This window comes from Homo sapiens, chromosome 10 (genome assembly GCF_000001405.40).
Source record: "Homo sapiens chromosome 10, GRCh38.p14 Primary Assembly".
NCBI classification, from domain to species: domain Eukaryota; kingdom Metazoa; phylum Chordata; class Mammalia; order Primates; family Hominidae; genus Homo; species Homo sapiens.
Window position 1 is genome coordinate 118,909,706 of NC_000010.11, and position 27,585 is coordinate 118,937,290.

A 27,585-nucleotide genomic window follows, 5' to 3' on the forward strand; every position below is an offset into this window, starting at 1 on the left:
CCTATGAACCATCACATAACTCCTGGGTGCCATGCATCACTCAGAAACAACCCTGAGCCAGACACCCACTGCGGGAGGCAGAACCGTGGTCCCCAAAGATGTCAGGGTCTTACTCCCCAGAAGCTGTGGAAATGTCACCTACACGGCAAAACGGACTTTACAGAGGTGGTTCAGGGTCTTCATCGGGGGAGATTCTCCTGGGTCATCCTGGTGAGCCCAGTGTAATCCCAGGGCTCCTCACAAGGTACAAGGAGAAGAGTGAGAGAAGAGGAGGTGATGTAATCGCAGAGGCAGAGACAGGAGCTGGAGGATGCGGTGCTGCGGGCTTGAAGGATGCAGGAAGGGGCCAAGAACTGCAGGTGGCCTCTAGAAGCTGGAAGAGGCAGGGAATGGAACCCCCACAAAGAGCCTCCAAGGAGGAAGCAGCGCTGTTGACGACTTGAATTTAAAACTACAAGATAATAAGTGTGTATTGCTTTAAGCCACCACATTTGTGGTAATTTATTAAAACATCCATAGGAAATTCATACACCCCCATTCTATAATCCTGGGGGTAGAGGAACAGACCATAGAAATTCTCCCTCGACCCCAGCCCCTCTCCTCCGCCTCTGGCCAATCAATAGGAAATGTGGCCTCAGGACTTGTCTAATTGGAGCTTTCCCATCCCCACACCCAAGTGACCAGTGCAGGCAACTTCTGCAGAAAGCCAGGCCCAGGCCAGAGCCCAGGGCTTCTCAGCACCTGGTAGACTCAGGAAGGAAACAGGTCCCTCACTGGTCCTCCCAAGTCCCTGGGTCCAGAAATGGAGGTCCTGAAACACAAGAGCTGTCCCCAGCTCCAAGGTTTAGTCTTCATTGACTGATTTGTGTGGGGGGGGGGATGGGGGTGGGGGTCTCCCCTCTTTTTTCAATGTCCTATTTTTGGGAGGTTGGAAAAGTTTGGATGCAGCTCAGGGATTAAATTCAAGGACATGAATATTAATGATTCCCCTCCCTCATGCTGCAAATCCACTCATCATTAGGCATTTTCCAGCCACCTACATGAGGGCTGCCATTTGTCCCCTCTCAATAGACCCACATGGATTCCAATGGCCAGTTCTGGTAGCTGGCTGCGCTCAGCACACACACACCAATAGGATGCCATGGAGGGTGACTCCTGGGTCATACCAGGCAACTGCTATACAGAGGGACTGCAGCATCCGCCACCTCCAAGGAGCCAGGCCAGGCAGTGGGGTGAGGGGCACTGACAACTGCAGGCCAACGAGCTCTGCGTTGGGTGAGTGGCTGCCAGCCATCCTGCTCCTCTCACTAAGCCTAGAGATACCCCAGATCCTCCCGGAGGGACACGTTGCCTCTCCCCACTCTGGGTTTACAGAGCTCCGTCCCCTCTTGGGTGAGATTCCCACAAAATTCTTGGATCATATTTGTTTATCCAGAAGTATCTTCCTGGAATTTTTGAAGAACTCACGGATGAAACTACCCAAAGACCATTTCTATATCTTGGACAGAACTGCAGCTGAAAACACTGTCCATAAACCACTGTGTTCTCCTGTCTTTAAAAAAATAATAATAATAACTCTACCTCCTCATCCCACCTCTCTCTACAACCTCCTCTCTTTCTTTATTCTTCCTTTCACACCCAAACTTCTTTTAATGAACTGTCCCCACTCCTCTCTCTCCTCACCTTCCCTCTCATGCTTAAATCCACTAGCTCTGGCTTCAGTACCACCACTACCATTGCCACCACCTCCCACTGAAATTGTTCCTGCAAGAGTCATCGGTGACTTCCTTGTTGCTAAATGCCAAAGATGTTTTTCAGTCCTTATCTTTGCTGACCTTTTAGTGGCACTTGGCCTAGCTGGCCTTCTTGAAATCCCAATGGCCAGTTTCGACAGCTGGCTTCCGTGGGCCTTCATAACACTACACTTGTTTGTGTATCCATCTGCCTTTGATGATTATTTTTCCTCCGCCAGGCCATGAGATGTTCAAGTTCTCAGGGTCCAGTCTGAGTCCTCTTTCCATTCCGTCTCTCTCTGGGGCTTTCAGGCAGCCTCCTGACTTTGCCTATATTCTATAGACTGATGACTCCAAAACTTGATCTCAGTTGCCGGCTGCCTCCTGGCAGCAGAACCATGTGCTGCCAGACATTTCTTCTGGGGTATTCTTTAGGATCTCAAGAACAACCTTTCTATGCCGAACTCTTTATTTTCCCCCAATAAAGCCTGCCCCTCCTCGTGGGTTCCCCATCTAATGAAAGCCCATCAACCACCCTGAGTCACCCAAGCATGGAGCCTGGGAGTGACTCTAGACTCATGCCTCCTTTACCCCCACATCCCATCAATTCTAGAGGCTGAAGACACACACTCTGTTTTTTCTCTCTCTCTCTTTTCCCCCAATCTGCCCACTTTTCTCCAAGCAGAGGCTCACTCTAGTCTATGTCACCATCATTCCTCACCCAGGTTCCTGGGTCTCACTGCTTATAGTTTTGGTCTCCCCTCCAGTTCAAGCTAAAGTCATCTTTCCAAAGCCCAGTTGATCAAATCCAGCCCTTCAAGGACTCCCATTGTCTTCAGGCCAAAGTGTAACTCCTCTTCAGAGGCTCCCACTTCTCTCTCCAGCCTTCTCCCTCCCCACTCACCCCTGGCCCTCTGCACAGAGGCCATGGCTGATGTGACATCCTCTGTCCCTGAACAGTCTTCACCCCTCACCTTCCACCTAATTTCTTTTTTTGTTTTTGAAATGGGGTCTTGCTCTGTCACCCAGGGTGGAGTGCAGTGGCATGATCTCAGCTTACTGCAACCCCCACTTCCTGGGTTCAAATGATTCTCCCACCTCAGCCTCCCGAGTAGCTGGGATTACAGGTGTCCACCACCATGCCCGGCTAATGTTTTGTATTTTTAGTAGAGATGGGCTTTCACCATGTTGGCCAGGCTGGTCTCGAACTCCTGGTCTCAAGTGATCTGCCCATGTCAGCCTCCTAAAGTGCTGGGATTACAGGCGTGAGCCACCGCACCCAGCTGACCTCTACCTAATTTCTATGAGTGCTTCAAATCTTGGCTGAGTGTCACTTTCCCTAGGAAAGTATCTCCCCCCTCAACTGCCCCCAGTTCTGGATTAGATGTCCTTCCAATTACCCACAAAATAACTTGTTTTCCCCTTAAACCACTACTTATTAAATTATCTCAACATTTTTGGAAGCCTCCCTGATATGTGGAAAACCAACAGACAGCAAGAGAAACCAGACCCCTGTCTACACAGGGCATAGAGTCAAGCAGGAAACACAGACATTATAACAACAAAGATCAAAGAGGGGGCAGGAGGAGGGAGAGGTAGGAATGGGAGGAGAAATGTAAAAGAAAAAGACAGAAACAGCAAAGAGCACAAATGCTTCCACTCACAAGGCATCAGCTGATGAGACCAACATCTTGTATACTTCCTCTGTTTGCGGAATGAATGAATTTACGTTACCCAATATTCTTTAGATAAGGCCCTAGGTGATAAATTCCTTCTACAACTTTGTGCCAGAAGGGGAAAGTTTGCCCTCACTGAACACTTGTTTCTTTCAATTAAACAAAGAGACTAAGAAACCTGTCATATTGCTCTTTTTGTCTTGTCTGCCAAAAAGTTCAGGGCCAAATTTAGACCTCAGTCACAAGGAAGTATGTAATTTCTGGCTTCTGTCACCATCTCTCCTTATCCAGCTAGTTTCTCTTTCATCTTTTTTTTTTTTTTTTTTTTTTTTTTTTGAGTGGGGTTCTTCCTCTGTCTCCCAGGCTGGATTGCAATGGTGCAATCATGGCTCACTACAGCTTCGTATTCCTAGACTCAAGGGATCCTTCCACCCCAGCCTCCCAAGTTGTTGGGACTACAGGTACATGCCACCACGCCCAGCTAATTTTTTATTTTATTTTATTTTATTTTTTAGAGACAGAGTCTCACTATGTTGGCCAGGCTGGGCTTGAACTCCTGGCCTCAAGCTATCCTCCTGCCTCGGCCTCCCAAAACACTAGGATGATAGGAGTAAGCCACTGTGCCTGGTCTCTTTTATCTTTAATTTGTGTACCCCTGTATACCTGTATACACCCCTGTATACACAAATGTGTTTTTACCTTGACCCCTACTTGCCAATCCCTCATGGAAGCAGGTGGAACAGAGGCTCAACATGCAGTGACCCGTTCCAGACTGGCCCCAGCAGGAGATGGCACCCTTGTCCCAGCCCAGTGTTTCCAGAGCGGCACCCACTCTGCAGTCTGAGGCCTCCTCCTGCCCCCACCCCTAGCCAGCCACAGAGTTCAAGGACATGAGCAGCCCTGGCTGTACCTCCCTCCTCCGGGGGGTTGATGTGCTATTTAAAGAGGCCAGACCTCCAGAGCCTTAACAAAAAGCAGAATGAGAGAAGGAAACGTCATATAAGGGATAGGCTGGGGGCAGGGCTAAGCCTAGGTCAGGGCAGGGAGCTTCTAGGTGAGACTCACCATCAAGCTGTGGTCTCTCCTCTTCCCTTCATCACTGCTTGGTCCAAGCAGAGGGGGCTGAAAGAGCTGATGCCCAAGAGATGTCAGGAATGCCTTCTGATGCGTCTAAGACTAGGGACCTAGTCTGACCCTCAGACCAACAGTTTTACACAGAGTGTATTAGGCAGTTTTCGCACTGCTATAAAGAAATACCTGAGACTGGGTAATTTATAAAGGAAAGAGGTTTAACTGGCTCGCGGTTCTGCTGGCTGTACAGGAACCATGGCCTCAGCATCTGCTGGGCTTCTGGGGAGGCTTCGGGAAGCTGACAACGATGGCAGAAGGTGAAGGAGGAGCAGGCAGTTCACGTGGCGAAAGCAGGAGCAAGAGAAAGAGTTGGGGAGGTGCCACACACTTTTAAACAGCCAGATCTCTCGAGAGCTCACTCACTATCATGAAGACAACACCAACCATGAGAGATCCACCCCCATAATCCAAACACTTCCCCCCAGGCCCCACCTCCAGCATCAGGGATTACAATTCAACATGAGACTTGAGCAGGGACAAATATCCAAACCGGGTTGTGAGCAACTCTGTCTCAGGGATGAGATCACGAGGCTATCTCCAACATGCCCTACAGCCCGCCTCTGCTATGCTGCTCCTCTGTAGCCCAGCTGCCTGTATAAAAGTCTGTCACTTGGTGGGTGCCTTCTGGGAATCCCTAGAGTGCACAGCTGTCACTACAAAACAGATGGTATCACTGCTCCAATTAGATAGGGATTCTCTCTGAATATAATCCCTTACTGGTGTATGACATTTTTACAAAATACTCTCATGCATTTGCTTTTCTGTAAACTGACTCCCGTAACCAACCCTGTGATGTTAGCAGGATATATATCATTCCCATTTTACAGATGGGAAAACAGGCTGGAAGAGGCTCAGTGACATGCCCAAGACTAAATCCCAGGACTTCTTTCTGAGAGCAGGGCCATGTCCGGCTTATGTGCTTGTAATGCCACTGCCTGCCCAGGGCAGGCACACAGAGATGTGTGTGCTCGATAGGATGTGGAGTTAAAGCATTCACCTCCCACACTCCCCCAGCAAACTTCGCTGGCTTCTCTGAAAGCCAAAACGCTGCATCAGAAAATGCATCAATACAAATGCCACTGGCAGCCCCGGCAGCTCTCTGCCTGACCTCAACCACACGTAAGGGTCTTAGCACCAGGTCATGGTTGGGGTGGAAAAGTCACCTTTGAGATGCTCCGGCTCAACCTGTGATCAAGGTCAAAGACAGAACTACAAGCATGAGAGCTGGAAGGCAGCTTACAGATCATCTAGTGACCCAGTTTGGTGTCTGCCTCGTCCTGGCCAGCATAGTCCATTCATCCTAATTTGGGTGGCGGAGCTGGGTCATGAACCCCTTTGCCTACCAGACCAGTTGTCTTTCTTGGTGGTGGCATATTGCTCCAAACATCATTGGCTCTTATGTTGTCACTAAATAGCACTAAAGGCTGTCTGGGACCAGCAATGGGATGTGTCTGCCACAGAGGAACAAATAGTAGGATCTTTCTACGCCTTCCTTTTTGCCCCCACAGGACCCTTTACTGAAGTGACACCTGGTACCTGTGTGTGCCCAGCACCCTTTCCTCTGCCATCTGGTAAAAACACACTGCTGCTCCTTTGAGAGAACGACCTTCCCCCACTTTATTTGTGCCTGGTTTGCCTATTTCAGGTCCTTCTGCCCCTTCAACACAGGGCTGGACACATGACACAGACCAGCCAGTCACAATACTCCATCTCAGAGATGCACACATGGCCTAACCAGGGCCAAAGACTTCTCTAAGACTTTGGTGTATGCTTCCTAGTGTGAGAGAGGGTCTCTCCTCCTCCAGTGACAGCAATAAAGACTGGAGAAGCCTGGAACTGCTGAAGTCACCTTCTTTTTTTTTTTTTTTTTTTTTTTTTTGAGATGGAGTTTTCGCTTTTATCGCCCAGGCTGGAGTGCAGTGGCTCAAACTTGGCTCACTCCAACCTCTGCCTCCCACGTTCAAGCAATTCTCCTGCCTCAGCCTCCTGAGTAGCTGGGTCTACAGACACACACCACCATACCCAGATAATTTTTGTATTTTTAGTAGAGACAGGGTTTCACTATGTTGACCAGACTGGTCTCGAACTCCTGACCTCAGGTGATCTGCCTGCCTCAGCCTCCCAAAGTGCTGGGATTACAGGTGTGAACCACCTTGCCCAGCCTGCTGAAGCCATCTTACCCAACTGCATTAAAAAAATCAACTGCAGGATGAAGCCAACACATTGAAAAGCCAGGCCAAGAGGACAAAAGAGAATCACAGCCCTGAAATCATCATCTGAGTTCTGAATCCAGCTGTGCATAGTCAAACAGCTCTGAGGCTTCCCAGCTACGTGAGCCCAGCAATTCTTTTTTAGCTTGGGCTTGTTTGAGAAGTGTTTCTGATGCTTGCAACTAAAAGAGTGCTAATACGATGCTTTATTGCTCTAATTGGTTAACATAGGTGATCAGTTGCATTACTGGCCCCAATTCTTTACCCTTTTCCTACATCAACACACTTTGTCATGTAACTTTGGGATTTTTCCCATTAAGGAGGAGCATATTTACCTGCCCTTTGATTTTTCAGCTGAGTCGTGTAACTTACTTTGGCCAATAGAATAATGCAGAAGCCACGGCATGCCCAGTCCAGGCCCAGGCCTTAAGCAGCCTGGCTTGACTCTGCCCACGCTGGTGAACTTCTACACATGCGGAGGACATGCTCTGGCTGGCCTGCCAGTCTAGGAGAACGAAAGGCACATGGAGAAGACCTGCCCCAGCCAAGCCACCCCATCTGTGCCCAGCCTAGATCAGCCAACCTCCAGCCAATTCTCAGGGGCATGAACAAAATAAGCACTTATTCTTTTTTTTTCCTTTTTTCTTTTTTTTTGTTTTGGAGACAAGGTCTCACTCTGTTGCCCAGGCTGCAGTACAGTGGCACCAGCGTAGCTCATTGCAGCCTTGAACTCCTGGGCTCCAGCAATCCTCCTTCCTCAGCCTCCAGAGTAGCTAGGACTATAGGCACATGCCACCATGCTAGGCTAATATATTTTACATATATATATGTATATATATTATATATTATAAATATATATTTTATATATATGTATTTTAGAGATGGAGTCTTGCTATGTTGCCCAGGTTTGTCTTGAATTCCTGGCCTCAAGTGATTCTCCCACCTTGGCCTCCCAAAGTGCTGGGATTACAGGTGGGAGACACTGCACACGGCCAGCACTTAATTTTTTTTTTTTTTTTTTTTTTTTGAGATGGAGTCTCGCTCTGTCACCCAAGCTGGAGTGCAATGGTGTGATCTCAGCTCACTGCCTCCTCTACCTCCCAGGTTCTAGTGATTCTGATGCCTCAGCCTCCTGAGTAGCTGGGATTACAGGCATGCGCCACCAAGCCCAGCTAATTTTTGTATTTTTAGCAGAGACAGGGTTTCACCATGTTGGCCAGGCTGGTCTTGAACCCCTGACCTCAAGTGATCCACCTGCCTCGGCCTCCCAAAGTGCTGGAATTCCAGGTATGAGCCACCGAACCTAGCCGGCCAGCACTTACTCTTGAACCTCTTCTTTAGGTTGTTTACTGTGCCGCATAACTGATCAATGCAACGTATCTGTCACTCCTACCCTTTGGGCTCCTTGAAGGCAGGAACTGGTGTCTTATACATTACTATCTCCCCAGTGATGAGCACAGCTGCTGGCCATGAAAGGAAAGAAGGAGGGAGGGAAGAGAGGGGACAGAGGGAACAGGGGGACTCCCAGTTCTCTGGCACCTTTCTACCAGGTTAGACGTTCTGATTTCAATGAAGGAGGGACCCACCCATACACTGACGGTGAAACTCTGTTGCTGGTATGTATTATTTACTTTGGAGATTCTGCTTAGGGGCTACGCTAATACTGGGGGGCTGATTTCTAAGAACGTATCCCATATGCCATTGTCCAGACTGTGGCACCAAAGCTCTCAAATGCCCACTCACCAGCCTGCAACTTGAGTGAGGCCATAAAGCCATCTTTGTCCATTTCTGCCCCCGTGATAGGCAGGCAGGATTAGGCCGGTGAATACCTGAGCACACAGTACCACGGCAAACCTGCCACAAAAGCCTGCTAATCACACCCAGCTGACACTTGCCATTCACCAACGCAAGGCATTTTAAAGTGTCTCATTAAAATAGGGAAAAGGATTAAGAGGCCCCTTTCTTGATTAATGACTTTCTCTGCCTGAGAAATATAATCCTATCTATAACCCCAAATAAATAGAAGCAAAATTAGATTTCTACCATGAGATCATTCAGGGCACGTGTTGCACTGTGCCCCTAAATCTTATTTTCTTTACATATTTTATCCAGCTTAAGGGCATAAGATATTCTGAGCCCCAAAACCAGAACTGTTTTGCAATAGGTAGCAGCAGTGACAGAAGGGGATTTCCCTGGCTTTTCTAAGGCACTAATGAGTTTATATGTTGAAAAGAACAACCAATCTCCCTTAGGGAAAGACACATATGGCTGCATATGGAACATCTAGAGCACTCATCTCCTCAGATCCTTTTAGGGAAACAGGCAGCCATCAGTAAATCAAAAATAAAAGCTTCCTCTATTGACTCATTGATTTCCTTCTCTGAATCTGCTATTGTGTGAAAATTCAGAGGGTCATGAACTATTCAAACTGGAAGGAACTTTTAAGACCCTTAGTCACCCAGGCACGGTGGCACGCCCCTGCAATCTCAACACTTGGGAGGCCGAGATGGTCAGATTGCTTGAGCTCAGGAGTTTGAGAGCAGGCTGGGCAACATGGTGAAACTCTGTTTCTACAAAAATACAAAAAAAAAAAAAAAACAATTAGGCAGGGGTGGGGGTGTATACCTACAGTCCCAGCTACTCAGGGGGCTGGGGTGGGAGGATCACTTGCGCCCAGGAGGTCAAGGCTGCAGTGAGCAGTGATTGTGCCACTGCATTCACAGAGTGAGGACCTGGTCTCAAAAAAAAAAAAAAAAAAAAAAAATCTTAGTCAAACCCCATAACCCGACAGATGAAGAAAGTGATGCCCAGATAGAGGAGGGGACTTACTCAGAATTACCCGCTGTTCATGATATCACCCACACATGCATGTGCGTGTGCACACACTCTCTCTCTCTCTCTCTCTCTCTCTGTCTCTCAGAATGGGTCTCACCCTGTCACCCAGGCTGGGATACAGAGCCGTGATCATAGCTCCCTGCAGCCTCAAACTCCTGGGCTCAAGTGGTCCTCCTGCCTCAACCTTCTGAGTAGCTTGGACTACAGGTGTGTGCCACCACACCTGGCTAATTTTTTTAATTTTTTATTTTTGAGACAGGGTCTTGCTCTGTTGCCCAGGCTGGAGTTCAATGGTGTGATCATGACTCACTGTGGCCTCCACTTCCCAGGTTCAAGCAATCTTCCCACCTCAGCCTCCCAAGTAGCTGGGACTACAGGTATGCAACACTATGCCTGGCTAATGTTTAAATTTTTTTTGTAGAGATGGGGTCTCACTATGTTGCCCAGGCTGGTCTTGAACTCCTGGGCTCCAGTGATCCACCCACATCAGCCTCACCAAAGTGCTAGAATTACAGGCATGAGCCACTGCACCTGGTCTACCACACTCTTTGCACAGAGAGGTGCTTTCACAAGGTTTTGACTTGTGGGAACGAATTACATGAGAGAGAAGGGTACTGGGATGGATCCTGGCAGAGTCTCTTCAGCTACCCCAACCGTTCTGTAGACTGGTTAGATTTCTTTCTTTCTTTTTTTTTTTTTTTTTTTTGAGACAGAGTCTCGCTGTGTTGCCCAGGCTGGAATGCAATGGCGCAATCTCGGCTCACTGCAACCTCCGCCTCCCAGGTTCAAGCGATTCTCCTGCCTCAGCTTCCCGAGCAGCTGGGATTACAGGCACCTGCCACTACGCCCGGCTAATTTTTGTATTTTTAGTAGAGACGGGGTTTCACCATGCTGGCCAGGCTGGTCTCGAACTCCCAACCTCAGGCATTCTGCCCGCCTCGACCTCCCAAAGTGCTGGGATTACAGGCTTGAGCCAGGCGCTGGGCCCTAAATTTCTTAATAGATTATTTCTACTTAAACCAGATTAAATTATGTTTGTCTATAGAAGAACCGATATGGTTTGCATCTGTATCCCCACCAAATCTCATGTTGAAATGTAATCGCCAGTGTTGGAGGTGGGGCCTGGTAGAAGGTGTTTGGATCACGGGAGCAAATCCCTCGCGAATGGCTTAGCGCCATCTCCTTGATGATGAGTGAGTTCATGCAAGATCTGGTTGTTTAAAAGTGTGTGATGCTCCCACACACTCTCTCTCATTCCTGCTCTGGCCATGGGATGTACCTGCTTCCCCTTTGCCTTCTGCCATGATTGGAAGCTCCCTGAGGCCTCCCCAGAAGCCAAGCAGGTGCCAGGGCCGTACTTCCTATACAGCCTGCAGAACCATAGCCAATTAAACCTCTTTTCTTGTTCAATTACCCAGCCTCTGGTATTTCTTTATAGCAATGCGAGAATGGCCTAAGATGAGAACTCTAATCAGTAATAAGGAAACATGAATGATGTAAAATAAATATCAGGATTCAGCTATTTCTCTAATCCAGACTGCTCCATGCACAAGAAGTTCAGATTAGACATGTTTGATCATATACAGGGGTATTGTGTGAAATGGATACCTAGGGATTTAATACTATTTATACAAGGAAGTAGAAATGTGCTACTTTCAATTTGTGTTAGAATTTGATGGATCATACAATCATGTTTATTTCAATACGATTTTCAGAAGCAAGCATAAAATGTTTAGAATGACACCTGAGTTTAAGAGAGGTAAGTGGGCTTTAATGACCTACAATTGGGAGTGAAGTCCAGAGAGGCACCAATTCAAAACCGAGTTACCCACATGAGCAGCCATTCCCTGGATACAGGAAGGAGTGGTTCCCACTGTGTAGAACACAATTGTTTGTATGACATGCAAGCTTCTCAGTCTTCCTTCTTCTGTTATTTACCTCCACACCTGGGACTTGTGACCCATTATAGTATTTAGTTCTCTTAAAAACTGGGTAGGGTTGGTCCAAAGGAAGCCATGATGCCCAGGCAGGACCAATAAGTCCCCCCACCCAACCCCTAGACTTACTGATTTGGAGCTGAAGAACCTGGTGCTAGAAGAACACTGGCGAGTCTGTCCATGGCCACCTGCCCTGAAACATGGAGAAAAGGGCCTGTTTCAGCTGGAGAGAATGTGCCAACCAGAGACAAGATGGCACATGGTATATTTTGTGTGCACCTAATACATACAAGGCTCTCTGAGGTGCCCTGATTCCAGGGCACTTTCACGGAGATTATGGGCTACGAAGGAGTCAGCAGTCCACAGCTCATTTCAAGGAAGAAAATGATGGGTACAATGATTAGAGGAGAAAACAAACCCACCACAGGGGCCCAGAAGAGAAAAAACATTCAACTGGAAGATGGACAAAGGCTTTATGAAGGAAGGAACTCAAAAACCTTGGGCATAATTTCTGAGTACAGTAGAAGTCACAGAAGATGTATGAGGTGTGCTGTGATCAAAACTGTGCTTTACAGAAATACCTACGATGGCATCATGTGTAGAATAGTGGGCCTAGAAAGAACAAGGCTATTACGAGCCAGTGATGAGGAAAATTTGGTCTAGGATCGTGCAGGGAAAGAAGGCGATGGAGGAATACTCTGGAATGAAGGTTATAGAAGAGCTTGAAGGGGAGAAACACCTACAGTAGCACTCTGGGTAGCAAGACAGAGCAAATGTGTACATGAAGATGGCAGAGCTGTGCTCCTTGTCCTTTGGCTAACGGGTGGGAGCGTGAAGAAGAAATGCATTGTGTGCATATTGCATAGCATCGATCAAAGAGAAATCTATTGCATTGGAGGATAAATGCTAATCAAGATTAGTGAGTAAAAAGGATGCATGAAGTCACAGAATTCAGAGAGAACGTGGAGGTAATAAAAACATTGTGGAAAAGTGGATAAGGAGAGAAAGATGGCAAAATGTTCTGATTTTTGCAATCACAGTGAGTTTAAAGCAGAAAGTAGGTGGAATCTGACCACATAAAACCCTCTTGCCTGAAACTACTAAAAGCTGGACAAAAATATTTGAAACTACAGTTGTCAAGAGGCTGAACACTAGGCAATAAAAGATTGTGATCCCAGAGAGTCATAAAACAGACCAGATGAACCTTACAATTGCCCTGGCTTGTTGCCTTGGGACAGTTTCCAGACCGCAGCACAAAGAGGGAGAATCAGGCAGCACCTGGGAGAATTCCTGAGTTTGAGGGGACACAGCTGAGAGGCCAGGGAGGTCACAGCAGTTGGAGTTCACAGGACAATGTACCAGAAAGGAGAGAGGACAGAAAACTCCAGATTTCTGCAAAGTCCTCAAATGTTTGGAGACTAAATGATACATCCCTGAATAACTCATAGGTCTAAGAAGAAATCATAAGGGAAATAGAAAGTATTTTGTAGGTATTTAAAATGAAATATAGGCCAGGCACAGTGGCTCATGCCTGTAATCCCAGCACTTTGGGAGGTCGAGGTGGGTGGATCATCTAAGGTCAGGAGTTCGAGACAAGCCTGGCCAACATGGCGAAACCCCGTCTCTACTAAAAATACAAAACTTAGCTGGGCATGGTGGTGTGAACCTGTAATCCCAGCTACTCAGGAGGCTGAGGCAGGAGAATTGCTTGAACTCAGGAGGCGGAGGTTGCAGTGAGCCAAGATCACGCCACTGTACTCCAGCCTGGGTGACAGAGTGAGACTTTGTCTCCTAAAAATAAATAATAAAAATAGAATGAAATATAACATGTAAAAATGTGTTAGGTGGCACTAAAGTAGCAGTATGTATTTAGGGAAAAATTTACAGAACTAAATGCCTATATGAGAAAAAGAAAAAAGTCTCAAATTGATGACCTCACCTTTCACCTGAAGAAACTAGATGAAGAAGAGCAAACTAAACCTAAAGTAAGTAGAAAAAAGAAAAGATGAAAAGTCAAAGAATCAATTCCTGGCTCAGATGGTTTCACTGGTGAATTCCACCAATAATTCAAGGAAGAGATAACACTTATTCTATACAAACTCTTTCAGAAAATTACAGAGGAGAAAACCCTTCCCGATTCATTTTCCGAGGCCAGCATTATCTTGATACCAAAGCTTAACAGATATGACAAGAAAATATACCAAAGAGCAACAGCCCCCATGAACATAGACACGAATATCCTAAACAAGATTTAACCAATCAATTCCAACAATATGTAAAGAGGATATGCATCCTGATCAAGCGGGATTTATCCTAGAAATTGGCTTAATATCCAAGATTGGCTTAACATTCAAAAATCAATCAATATAATTCATCATATTATAAAGTAAAAATTGAAAAACCTCAATAGACTCAGAAAAAGTATTTGACAAAATCTAACATCCTTCTCTGTGCCACGTATTTCAGGGGAAAAAAAGAAAAAATCTAACATCCATTCTTAATTAAAAGAAAAGAAAACTCCCTAGGAATATAGGGAACTTCCTTAACCTTAAAAGGGCGAGTCAGTTCCAATTACTTGACAGCTCAGGAGGCTGAGGCAGGAGGATCACTTGAGCTCAGGAGGATGAAGCTTTTGCCCTCCTCCCAGGCCCTGGTTCAGTGCTGTAAGAAGACATTTATGTTGGCAGAGGGCAGCTGAGCAGAATTTGTGTTTTTTTTGTTTTGTTTTGTTTTTGAGGTGGAGTTTCACTCTTGTTGTCCAGGCTGGAGTGCAGTGGTGCCATCTCAACTCACTGCAACATTCACCACTCGAGTTGAAGCGATTCCCGTGGCTCAGCCTCCCGAGTAGCTGGGATTACAGGCGTGTGCCACCGCACCCGGCTAGTTTTTGTATTTTTAGTAGAGACGGGTTTTCACCATATTGGCCAGGCTGGTCTCAAACTCCTGACCTCAGGTGAGCCACTACCTCGGCCTCCCAAAGTGCTGAAATTACAGATGTGAGCCACTGCACCTGGCCAAGCTTGTGTTTGTTTAAAAAACAAAAAAGTTTGACTGAGACTTAACTGCCCTAGGTACCTCTTCCTATGTTCATGTTTTAATGGGCGGAAAAAAAGCTCATGAAAATGTAAAGAACTGGTCACAGGGACCTGGCTGGCCCCACCCAGAAGGTGGGGGTTGGGTGAGTTGCCGGGAAGGAACTTGGAAGGGGCTGTGAAGGACAGAGAGGGCTAGAATTGGGCTGTGTGGAGCCTGTGTTCTCTAAGACTTCAGGCCCCACAGACCTGTTGAGTGCCTCATTGATGTGATCAGTGGCCCAGAAGATAGTATCCCAAATGTTTAGGGGTCCACAGGGTCCACCTCTCCCATCTGATGCCAGCCTGCATGGAAAGGAGCCCTCTAGGGAGAGGGGCAGGTGAAACACCTGCGTTTCTAAACAGGCTTTTGAAACTCCAGCTGGTCTCCTTTCCACCTCCCACCACCACTCCCAAGACCCTCCCCAGATGACTAGAGTCCAGGCCGGCCAGAGAACAGGGTCCAAGACAACCATACCATGTCTCTCTGCCGTGCACAAGAGAAGTCCCTGTCATCTCTGTGCTTTCACAGTGCTTGCAGGAAAGCTGCTCAGAGCACAGCCCTGTGCTGTCCCATCCAGCCTGGTCACACCCACTGGGCTGCCTGCACCAACAATGATGGTAATAATCAGAGCTGTGACATTATTTATGAATGGCAGCGACATGTATTAATTTCTTACTCTGAACCAAGCCCTTCCATAGGCATTTTACAGCATTTTCCCATTTGCTCCTCATTACAAATCTCTAGGGGTGCTCTTATTATCTCTACTGTATAGATGGGAAAACAAGTCTCAGAGGTTAGATGGCTTTTCCCAAGCCGCATGGCTAATGCAAGCTCATATGGGACACCTGATTTAAATGTAGGTTATTAAGATCCAGGGGGAGATATCTGACCCCAGAAGCCATGCCTTGCTCATATTCATTTCAGACAAGATACAGAACAAGGATAACAAAGGGCACATTCAAAAGCCCACCCAAAGTCAACAGGGTTAAAAACAGCAACTGCCGCTATAGAGGGCAAATGACCTATTTGATACCCACTTAACACTAAATCAGTGCTGCATTCAGCCCTCTATTTTGGGCTCTAGTACGGGTTTTGTACTTCCGCCACAACTGTCTATACCCTACCCATCACTGAAAATCAGGATTTTTCACATCCCAGGACACAGGATTTTCAGTACTACAATGGGACAGTCCCAGGCAAACCTGGATGATTGGTCACTATAAGTTTTTCAACCTCATCCTGGACATAGCTGAAAGGCCAGACACGGCGGTGGCCAGATTAAATCAAGCACACTCCATGGTCTCATTTCCAAGCAGTCACTGAAAGGGTGACACAGAGCCTAGTTCAGCAAGCCCCAGCTTTCTTTCCTTAACATCCGCTCCTCAGAGTGTTAACAGAATTTCCTCTGGCCTTTTCCCGCAAAGGCCTATGAACTCAATACCCAGCAGATCGTGTGCAGCAGTTCATAATTAATTTATGCCGCCTGAAATGTCCCACTAGGTCAGTATCGCTCTTCACCCAGTTAATGAAAGGATTGATCTTAAGAACACCTTTGATCATTAAAAGCATGATTAAGACTCCCTCCCTATTATCCTACTCTAGGAATGAGCAATGAGTCTTCCCACAGCAGAATGCCTCTGGTTCTCTCAACAAATGCACTTGCTGCAATCATGTGTTTAATTAGTCTCTTTCTTCAGATGAAATAATTGTGTCCCTGCTCTGGATTTCATTCATAAGATCACTTAAAATATGGCAGGCTCTTTATTGACTCTCTCATTTATTGTGGGGCCATATGGTGCACTCAGAGCCAAGCAACAGTGTGTTAGACCTGAACTCAGCAGGGACGTGAGGAAAAGCCAACATGCCTGAACCTGAGTCAGGTAGCCAACTGGCGTTTAACTGACCACTTACTATGTATCACAAACCGGCCAAGGGATACAGAAATGAGCAAGAGGCCAGAGGCTACACTTAAGGCAGTTTCTCAACCTCAGCACCATTGACCTTCAAGGCAGGATCATTCCTATTTGTGGGGCTGTCCTGTGCATGGCAGGATGTTTAGCAGCATCTCTAGCCCCTACCCACTAGATGCCAGGAGCACTGTCCCTCACCCCTCTCCCACCCCAAGATGTGACAACTGAACTTATCTGTAGACATTGCCAAATATCCTGGGGGGACAGAATTACTCTCAGGTTAAAAATCGCTGCGTTAAGGTGTTTGCAATCTGGAAAAGCAACTAAGACCAGTACACAATTTTTGTGTACTTGTGATAGAGGACATCATGGGGCAGTAATGAAGGAAATGTGCTGGCTGCAAACTCCTGTGGCGTCAGAGGCCAGTGACGGGAATGCCGGGAAGGCGGTGAGGATGTGGCTAACTGGAAAGGACAACCCTGTCCCCAGCTCAGTCCAGCCAAGTATTACCAGATACTATGATATACTTAGGGAATTCTGAAATCTGGACTTTTTTGTGAAATCTCCCAGTTTCTAAATTTCTCAACCAATTGAAAAATATTTTAAACAAAATATAAACTGAAATTAATTAATTAAAAGATTGAGAGCCATATTCAGCCAGATGCCCCTGCTATATCAAAAACTGGGCAGCCTGGAAGGATTCTGGGCATTACCTCCAGCTTACCTCCAATCCTGGGCATTGAGGCCCATTTCTAGAAAATGAGTGGTTGTCCATATTTGTTTGCTCTTAAACAGTGGTTCTAGATCCTGGGTGCACATTTGAATCACCTGGAGATATTAAAAAGCTCATCAGTGCACTAACCCCCTTCCAGGCCAATTAAGCTGGAAGCACAGGGTTGGGGCCCAGGTGTCTATGTTTGTAAAAATTCTCCCCAGGTGATTTGAACATTCAGTCAGGCTGGAGAACCACTGGTGTAAAAGAAGGAAACCAACAAAGGCCCATCTCCAGGTTGATTAAGGTTCAGGACTCTAACCTCAGGCAACCATCGGGTCTGGGAGAAACTTAACCTGGGCCTCAGGGTCTCTATCTGTTAAATGGAGATAAAAACACTACCTCCTTTACTGAATTGGTGTTTAAAAAAAAAAAAAAAAGTTTGGTTTTTTTTTTTCCTCTCAAAATGGGGCCCAGGCTTTAGGTTTTTTTGTTTTGTTTTGTTTTGTTTTTTCCGGATGTTACTAATGAGCAGCCAGGATTGAGAAACAGTAAGTAGGTTCCTGTTGGCTCTAACACGCTGGGAATTTCCTTAAGTGGGAAGAGGAAATGAGTATTGAACACCCACTAAGGCTGGGGCCTAGATGCCCCATTGGGATTCCTCAAAAAGAATTGGAGAGAAACAGCCAGATGCTGACATTACACAACATAAACTCCAAGAAGACACACACCCTAAAACCCCCTACACACACAATAATTAGCTGCCAGGATTAAGAAGTACGTTGAACATCATTCTAAAAGACACGGCTTGTGAAGGCTACCTCTGCTAACATGGTCTTCCACTAAGAAAATTCAAAGAGCCCTAATGTCCAAGCACTGAGCATCTTGAGGCATCTGATCCAGTGTCATCCTGGTAATATTTCCATTATTCACCTGAACTTCTGTTAATGAGGTGGCTAACTATAAGGGTTCCATTTGGGACACACACATTTATCATTTGATTAGGAAAGATTACCTATTTTTAGATAAAACATATATCTCCTAACAGGGATGGACAGTTATAAATAACTTGGAAAACTCTAGCCGACGCCCAAAACATCATGACTTAGGTTGAAAGAAAAAGCCTTTCTGATCACTGTCCTTTTGTGTTCCCCAGCACATTTTTCATGTTTACTTGCTGTCACCCCAGGTAAGTGATCGCCTTGGCTATATCCCATTTCCTCACTAGCTAAGGTGGGAAGAAGAATTGTCACAATCAAATAGGCAAGATCAAGGTGCAAGGGAGGAGAGGCAGAGGTTTGAGCCCTTTGCCCTGCAATCAGTTAATTAGCCCACCTCCAATTTATGTCTAACAGTTATTGGGGGAGCCACAGAAATGGCTTCAAGTTAGACTTTTACTCAAGCTGTCAGGTGGAAGAAGGGCTCAAAAGCCCAACAAAGGAAGTCAAACCTTTCCTTCCACATTGAAGTGGATGCCTGGCCCTTTCATGAGGTCCCTTCCTTCCCTGGCCCTTGAAGCAACTCAGGGGGATTCTAACATGAAAAGAATAGACATTTCTAATGACCATAGCTGAAAACTTTTTAGCAAAAAAAAAAAAAAATGTAGTACTGGATTAGAACCCAAAGTATGAATAAATGTCCATGAGTCCAGACGAGACTTCCACACTGGGGAAGATGAAGTAGACATAATTTTCCCAACTTCTTCCACTAAATACAACTAAAAATCCTAAACATTATGTATAAAACACATATAAGAAGAATTTGAAAAGTGAAGAGAGGAAGGAAGACTAGCTAGGGACCCCAGAATCCAAGAAACTACACGGTGGTGAGTTTCTTGGGTTTTCTTTTTGCCTCATACATTCCATCCTTGAAGTGGAAGCAGCCAGCAACACAGAAGTGCCAACAAATGCAAACAAACAAAAAGTCCCAACAAAAGCCCACTCTCTCTAGCCAAAGGCCATGAAAGAACCCATCCAGCAAGACAAAAAACTTGTAGCCAATAGCCACACTACTCCATACCATAGTAAAAATGGTGGTCCCACCCCTATAATGTCAGCAAAGGCCAACCGGGGAACCTGAATTTCCACTTTCATTAGGCTGCAGTGAGGTGTCCCATTACCCCAGCCCAAGTGGTACCACAGGAGGCCAACTAGGGAGCCAAGACTTTTATCCATCCCTACCAGGTGGTAATGAGCCCTCACCTCTGCCCACCAGTGACGACCAGATGGAGTACTAGATCTCCCATCCATCAGTAATAAGGAACCCTCCACCTCAGATGTCAACAGATGCTAAGTGGAAAACCTGGATTTCCACTCCCATCTGTCAGTAAGAAGGCAGTGCTGCAATTTCCCCTATTGAAGCAGCATCAGAGAAATCCAGCTAAAACAAAAAGTTTAAATAAGGTATAGAATCTCATAATAGTGCAAAAATGTCCAGTTTTCAGTCAAAAATTACTCAACATGCCAAGAACCATAAAGAGCTCAAACTAAATTTAAAAGACAGTTGGGGCTGGGCGCAGTGGCTCACGCCTGTAATCCCAACATTTTGGGAGACCAAGGTGGGCAGATCACGAGGTCAAGAGATCGAGACCATCCTGGCCAACATAGTGAAACCCCACCTCTACTAAAAATACAAAAATTAGCTGGGCATGGTGGTGGGCACCTGTAGTCCCAGCTACTCGGGAGGCTGAGGCAGGAGAATCACTTGAACCCAGGAGGCAGAGGTTGCAGTGAGCCGAGATTGCACCGCTGCACTCCAGCCTGGAGACAGAGCAAGACTTCATCTCAAAAATAAATTAATTAAATAAAATAAAAGACAGGCTGGGCACAGTGGCTCATGCCTCTAATCCCAGCACTTTGGGAGGCTAAAGTGGGAGGACTGCTTGGGTCTAGGAGTTCAAGACCAGCCTGGGTCACAAAGTAAGGCTCCATTTCTACAAAAAAAATGTTTTAAATTAGCTGGGCATGGGAGCACGTGTCTGTAGTCCCAGCTACTTGGGAGGCTGCAGCAGGAGAATTACTTAAGCCCAGGAGGTCGAGGCTGCAGTGAGCCATGATTGCACCATTGCACTCCAGCCTGGGTGACAGAGCAAGACCCTATCAAAAAAAAAAAAAAAGAGTCAAAAGATGCCAACACCAAGATGACAGAGATATTAGAATTATGTTTAAAATTTGTTAAAGTAGCCATGATAAAAATGCATAAGCAAGAAACTACAAATCTGTTTGAAGCAAGTAAAAAACTAGCAAGTCTCTGATGGTGATAATCATTTCACAATGTATACATACATCAAAACATCACATTATATAAAAATATATAATTTTTATTTGTTAATTATACCTCATTAAAGCTGGGGGGGAAAAAAAAAAGGAGAAACAAAGTCTCAGCAAATAACCAGAATATATAAAGGAGAACCAAACAAAAACCTTAGAACTAAAAAAATACAATAACTGAAATTAAAAGCTCAATGGTTGGGATCAATAGGAGAATGGAGCAAATAGAGGAAAGAATCTGTGAACTGGATAATAGAACAATAGAAAATACCCAACTTTAACAATGAAAATATAATTTTTTAAAAGAAGGAACAGAGCCTCAGGGACTTGTGGTACTATAAATAAAAGATCTAACATTTATGTCATCAGAGTCCCTGAGGAGAAGAGAAAGATAAGGAGCTGAAAAAGTACTCAAAGAAATAATAGATGAAAGCTTTCCAAATTTAGCAAGAGGCATAAACCTATAGATCTAAGAAGCTGAGTGAACTCCAAACAGAATAAGCCCAAAGAAATCCACATGAAGACATATCATAATTAAACTTCTTAAAACTACAGACAAAGAAAAAAATCTTGAAAGCAGCCAGAGATAAATGGCATCTTACCTTTAGGGAGGAAACAATTAGAATGAGAGTCGGTTTCTCATCAGAAACCACAGAGACCAGAAGGAAGTGGCATAATACTTTTCAAGTGGTGAAAGAGAAAATTGTTAACCCAGAATCTCATACCCAGCAAAAATATTCTTCCAGAATAAAGGGGAAATCAAGACATTCTCAGATAAAGGAAAACTAAGATAATTTGTCCCCAGCAGACCTATACTAAATGAATGGTTAAAGAACATTAACCATTCTTGAAAAAAAAAAAAAGAAAAAGTAAACAAGAAAAGTAGAAGCCTTAGAGCATTGGGAAGGAGGGAAGGAAATGATAAGCAAAAACCTGAGAAATACAATAGATTTCCCTTCTACTCTTGAGTTATCTAAATTCCTTTTGAAGATTAAAGCAAAAGTTATAACCATATCTGATGTGTTTCTAAATGTATGTGGAAGAAAAATTTAAGGCAAATGTATGATAAATGAGAAAGGGTAAAAAACAAACATAGAGGGAAGTGAGGTTTTCTTACCTCAAACTGGTAAAGGAACAATACCAATAGACTATGATAAGTTATGTTTATGTAATGTAATACCTACAGCAACAACTAAAAATGCTAAACAAAGACATACACTCAATACTATAGATAAGTAAATATCTATATTGGAATTCTAAAGAATGTTCAAGTAACTCACAGGAAGGCTGAAACAAGAAAACAGAGAAACAAACAAGAAAATAACCCCAGAAAATTAAAAAATAAAATAACAGTCTTAGCCATAACATATAAGTAAGTACATTAAATATAAATGATCTAAATATACCAATTAAAAGACAGAGATTGGCAAGGTAAATTAAAAACATTATCCAACAATGTGCTGTCTACATAAAACTCACTTCAAATATAACAATATAGGCAGGTTAAAAGAAAAGGATGGAAAAAATATATCATGAAAACATTAGTCAAAAGAAAGTAAGGGTAACTATATTACTATGAGATAAAGTAGACTTCGGATCCAACAAAATTAGCAGGGACAGAAAGGAATATTATATGATGAACAAGAAGACATAGCAATCCTAACTTGCATGCACCAAACAACAGACTGCAAAATATGTGAAGCAAAAACTGATAAACTAGGCTGGGCATGATGGCTCATGCCTGTAATCCCAGGACTTTAGGAGGCCAAGGCAGGCAGATCACTTGAGCCCAGGAGTTTGAGGCCAGCCTGGGCAACACAGCAGAACCCTATCTCAAAAAACTTTTTGTTAGTTTTAAAAACCTGATAAACCGGAAGGAGAAATAGGCAAATCCACAATTTTTTTCACTGTTCAAGGTTTATTGGGGGGTTTAGTTGGTATAACACTTGGATAGTTGGTTGCATTGTTTATATGTAGATCTTTTTACATTATATGGTAATGTACACTACTGATATATATAGTTCACAAAATAAGATCCTTTGGAACAATTATGCACAAGACATGCGATATTGGATTTGTACACTGGATCCCAGGATGTGACTGATTGGAAAAAAATGTTGGACTAGGCATGTTCAGTGAAGGAGCCAGGAAGTTATATATCACATGGTAAACATCCACCTGGCTCAAGGGGCAAATGCAGCATGTACAGCATTGGCAGTGGTGCCTCAGAGGTGGCAGAACTATTTCACACAAACCAGTTTAGGACTACACAAATTAGTACCATCCAGCATCAGGATATAGCTGTGGATTTTACAAACCATTCCTATTTCTAACTTCAGGAATTGATGTTTTTCCCAGTCCATCTTAAAATATTACTGCTTTAATCACAGATCAGATAAAAAGGATATCAGGCACAACCTCCAACTAAAGTCCTGTTGTAGCATAGACAGTGAAATGCTATGACATCAGAAGACTTTAAAATTGCAGCTCTTTTCGGATCCCCCAAAGTGTGTCTGCACGCTTCTTCAAACGGGCCTCTTCCTCAGGAGTCAGAGTCACCTTCACAAGGTCTGAGATTCCATTCTGTCCCAAAATGCAAGGAACACTAAGGAAGACATCATCCTTTATTCCATAGAGACCCTTAATCATGGTGGGAATTGGGTGCACCTGCCTAAGATTCTTCATTATACTCTCTACCAAATCTGCTACAGAGTCCAATGGCCCAGGATGTGTAGCCTTTGAGTTTGATCACCTCGTAAGCATTCTCAACCACCTGCTTGTGAACCTCTTTCCACTGTTTCTTATCTGTATCAGTGCCTAAATCTGGGTGCAGAATCTTCAGGAAGACACAAGCAACATTCACTCCACTCCATACAGGCACACTGGAATCTCCATGTTCCCCAAGGACCCACCCATGACAGCTTAATAGGTGAACTCCCAGTCTTTCCCCGTCGGGTAATGGAATCGGGCCGAATCCAGGTTGCAACCACTTCCAATAACACGGTTTTTGGGAAAGCCACTTATCTTCCAAGCCACGTAGGTCAAGATATCCACTGGATTTCAAATAATAAGCAACTTGCAGTTTGGGCTGTGCAAATCCACAATTTTAATCACAGACTTTAACACCCCCCTCTCAACAACTGATAAAACAACTAAATAGAAAATCAGCAAGGTTATAGATTAACTCAACAACAGGATCTAATTGACATTTATAGAAGCCTCCACATAACATAGCAGAATATATATTCTTTTCAAATACCCACAGAACATATACCAAAGTAGACCATATTTTAAGCCATAAAACAAACCTCAACAAATTTAAAAGAATTGAAATCATCCAGGGTATGTTCTCCAACCACAATAGAACCAAACTAGAAATCGGTAGCAAAAAAAGATTACAACAAAATATCTAAACAATTGAAAACTAAACAATATGCTTCTAAATAACTCACGGGTTGAAGAGGAAGCCTCAAGAAAAATAAACAAATAGATTGAATGTAATGAAAATGAAGATACAGCATATCAAAATTTGTGGCCAGGCATGGTGACTCACACCTGTAATCTCAGCACTTTGGGAGGCCAAGGTGGAAGGATCACTTGAGCCCAGGACTTTGAGACCAGCCTGGGCGACACAGTAAGACCCCATCTCAAAAAAAATAAAAAATAGAAATGAAATTTGTGGGACACAGCTGTGTTGAGAAGGAAATTTATAGTACTAAATGCATATGTTAGAAAAGAGGAAAGGTCTCAAATCATTTTTAATCTAAACTCCCACCTCAAGAACCCAGGTAAAAAAAAGAGCAAAATTAACCCAAAGCAAGCAGAATGGAGGAAATAATAAAGCTAAGAGAAAAAAATCAATAAAATTGAGAACAGGAAAACAATGAAAAAAACAATAAAACAAAGAGCTAATTCTTTGAAAAAAATCAATAGAGTTAACAAGCCACTAGCAAGACTGACGAAGAAAAGAGAGAAGGCACAAATTATCAGTGTCAGGAATGAAAGAGGGGATATCACTACAGACCCTAAATACATCAAAAGGATAAAAAGGGAATGCTAAGAACAACTCTACACACATAAACTTAACAACTTAAATGAAATGGGCCACTTCTTCAAAAACCACAAACTACCACAACCCATCCAATATGAAGCAGATGAGTGAACAGCCCTCTAACTATCAGGGAAAATTAATGTATAATTTTAAATCACCACCCCCACCCCAACAACAACAACAACAAAAACAGAGATCTCTAGAACTGGATGATTTCACTGGAGAATTCTACAAAATTATTAAAGAGGAACTGACGCTGATTCTGTACAATCTCTTCAAGAAAATACAAGAAGAAAGAACACTTTCCAATTCATTTTATGAAACTATTATTACCTTGATACAAGAACAGACGAAGACAGTACCAAAAAAGAAAACCACAGACCAATATCCCTTATGAATATAGACACAAAAATTTTTAACAAAATATTGGCAAATAGAACTCAGCAATATATAAAAAGAATTATACTTCATGATCAAGTGTGATTTGTTCCGTGGATGTGAGTCTGATTCAATATTCTAAAATCAATCAATCAATCAATCAATCTGATTCACCATCATAACAGGCTAAAGAAGAACAATCATATGATCTTATCAATTGATGCAGAAAAATGCATTTTGCAAAATTCAAAACGCATTCACGATAAAAACTCTCAGAAAGCTAGGAATAGTGGGAACTTCTCCTGCTTGATAAAAACACCTACAAAAACCTACAGCTAACATTATACTTAATGGTGAGAGACTGGATGCTTTCTCACTAAGACTGGGAACAAAGCAAAGGTATTCACTCTCACAACTTTTATTCAACATAGTGAAAGAAGTTCTAGCCAGTGCAACAAAACGGAAACAAAAGGCATACAGAGGGAAAAGGATCTAGAACTGTCTCTATGTGCAGGTGTAGATTCCAAACGAATCTACAGAAAATTCCTAGAACTAATAAGTGAGTCCAGCAGTGTTACTGGACATGAGATAAACATACAGGAATCAAGTGTATTTCTATATACTAACAATAAACATGTAGACCCGAAAATTTAAAATACAGTACCATTTAAAATTGCTCAGAAAGTAAAATACTTCAGTGTAAATTTAACAAAACATAAACAGAACTTCCATACTGAAAACTACAAAATACTGATGAAAGAAATCTAAGGATGTCTAAATAAATGGAGAGATATACTATGTAAATGGATTGGAAAACTCAACAAAATAAAGATGTCAATTCTCCTCAGATTTATATACAGTTTCCTTTCTAAACCCCAGCAAGAATTTTATAGACATAGACAAGGTTATTATAAAATCTATACGGAAAAGCAAAGGAACTAGAAGAGCTAAAAACAGTTTTGAAAAGGAAGAACAAAGCTACTATAATCAAGACTGTTTGTTGGTGGAGAAACAGATGCATAGATCAATGTGATGTAATAGAAAACTCAGAAATAGACTCACACAAGAATGTCCAACTGATTTTTTACAAAAGTACAAAAGCAATTTAATGGAGGAAAGATAGTCTTTTAAGCAAATCATGCTAAAACAGTTGTACATCCATAGGCAAAAAAAAGAGGGGGTTGTTAAGGAGAACCTCAAGATAAGTCTCACATCTTATATAAAAATTAACTCAAAATAGATTATGGACTTAAGCATAAAATATAAAAACTATAAAACTTTTAGGAAAAAATAGGAGAAAATCTTCAGTATTTAGGAGGAGGCAAATAGCTCTCAGGTTTAACACTAAAAGGAAAAATTGATAGGAATTCATCAAAATTAAAAACTTCTGCTCTGCAAAAATATCCTGTTAAAAGAAAAAAAAAATACAAGCTAAAGAGTAGGGAAAAAATATTTCCAATCCATTTGTCAAGCAAAGAACTAGTATCTAGAAGATACAAAGAACCAAGGGTGAAAAAAATCCAATTAGAAAATGAGCAAAAGATATAAACAGACATTTCACTAAGAGGATACACAATGGCAAATAAGCACATGAAAAGATATTCAACATCATTAGTCATTATGGAAAGGTAAATTAAAATCATGATGAGATATCACTAGGACATATCAAATGGCTAAGATAAAAAATAGTGACAACACCAAATTCTTACAAGGATGCAGGGAAACTGGATCATTCATACACTGTTGCTGTCAATATAAAATGGCAGAGTCACTCCGGAAAACACTGTTATAGTTTATTTTTAAAACTAAACATGCAATTACCGTAAGACCTAGCAATTGCACTCCTGGACATTTATCCCAGAGAAAGACTTATGTTCACACCACCATATATGAAGGTTTATAGCAGCTTTATTTATAATAGCTAAAAGTCGGAAACAACCCAGATTTCCTCCAATGGATATACAGGTAAATAAACTGTGATGCATACCATGGAATACTAATTAGTAATAAAAAGGAATAAACCATTGATATACACAACAGCATGGATGAATCTCCAGAGAACCATTTTAGTTGAAAAAAGCCAATCCCAAAGGTTATATACTATATGGTCCCATTTATATAACATTCTTAAAATAAAAAATATATATAAATGGAGAACAGATTAGTGGCTGCTAGGGGTCAAGGGAAGGGTGGAGACAAGAGGGAAGCAGATGTGATTATAAAAGGGCACATGAGGGATCCTTGTGGGGATGGAAATGTTCTGTATCTTGACTGTATTAATGTCAATATCCTGGTAGTGATATCGTACACTATAGTTTTACAAGATGTTACTGTCTGGGGAAACTGGATAAAGGATATGTGAGATCAGGCCGTATCAGTTCTTACAAGTGCAAGTGAATATACAGTTGTCTCAAAATAAAAATATATATAAAAAAACAAAACCATAGGAGGTCTTTGCACTTTCCAAAAGGGATCAAAAAATAAAATCTGATGCTGCCCTTGTGCAAATAACAAATGGAAACCAGGAGTTTGCTCAGCTAAGGGATGTCAATACTTTCATTCCAATGAAGGGAAATGGTAGTTTCTCCATGACCTGCTTCAAAATATTGCAGTAGAGTTTAGTGATTCTGGGCGGGATGAGAACATTTGACAGAGGCATTTGCTTTAG

At 43.3% G+C, this 27,585-nt stretch overlaps 1 long non-coding RNA gene and 1 pseudogene across 2 annotated transcripts in view; both read right to left on the reverse strand.

Moving 5' to 3' along the window:
* LINC03036 (long intergenic non-protein coding RNA 3036) overlaps positions 1 to 27,585 on the reverse strand; it is a 245,028-nt gene that overhangs the window by 125,162 nt on the left and 92,281 nt on the right. Inside the window, exon 3 of one of the 2 annotated variants that reach the window (NR_186541.1) lies at positions 11,652 to 11,715. The exons of the other annotated variant lie outside the window; for it this stretch is intronic. This is a non-coding gene — a long non-coding RNA (long intergenic non-protein coding RNA 3036). The remainder of the gene's footprint in view (positions 1 to 11,651; positions 11,716 to 27,585) is intronic. 2 annotated transcript variants of the gene reach the window in all.
* LDHAP5 (lactate dehydrogenase A pseudogene 5) lies at positions 22,393 to 23,543 on the reverse strand (annotated as a pseudogene).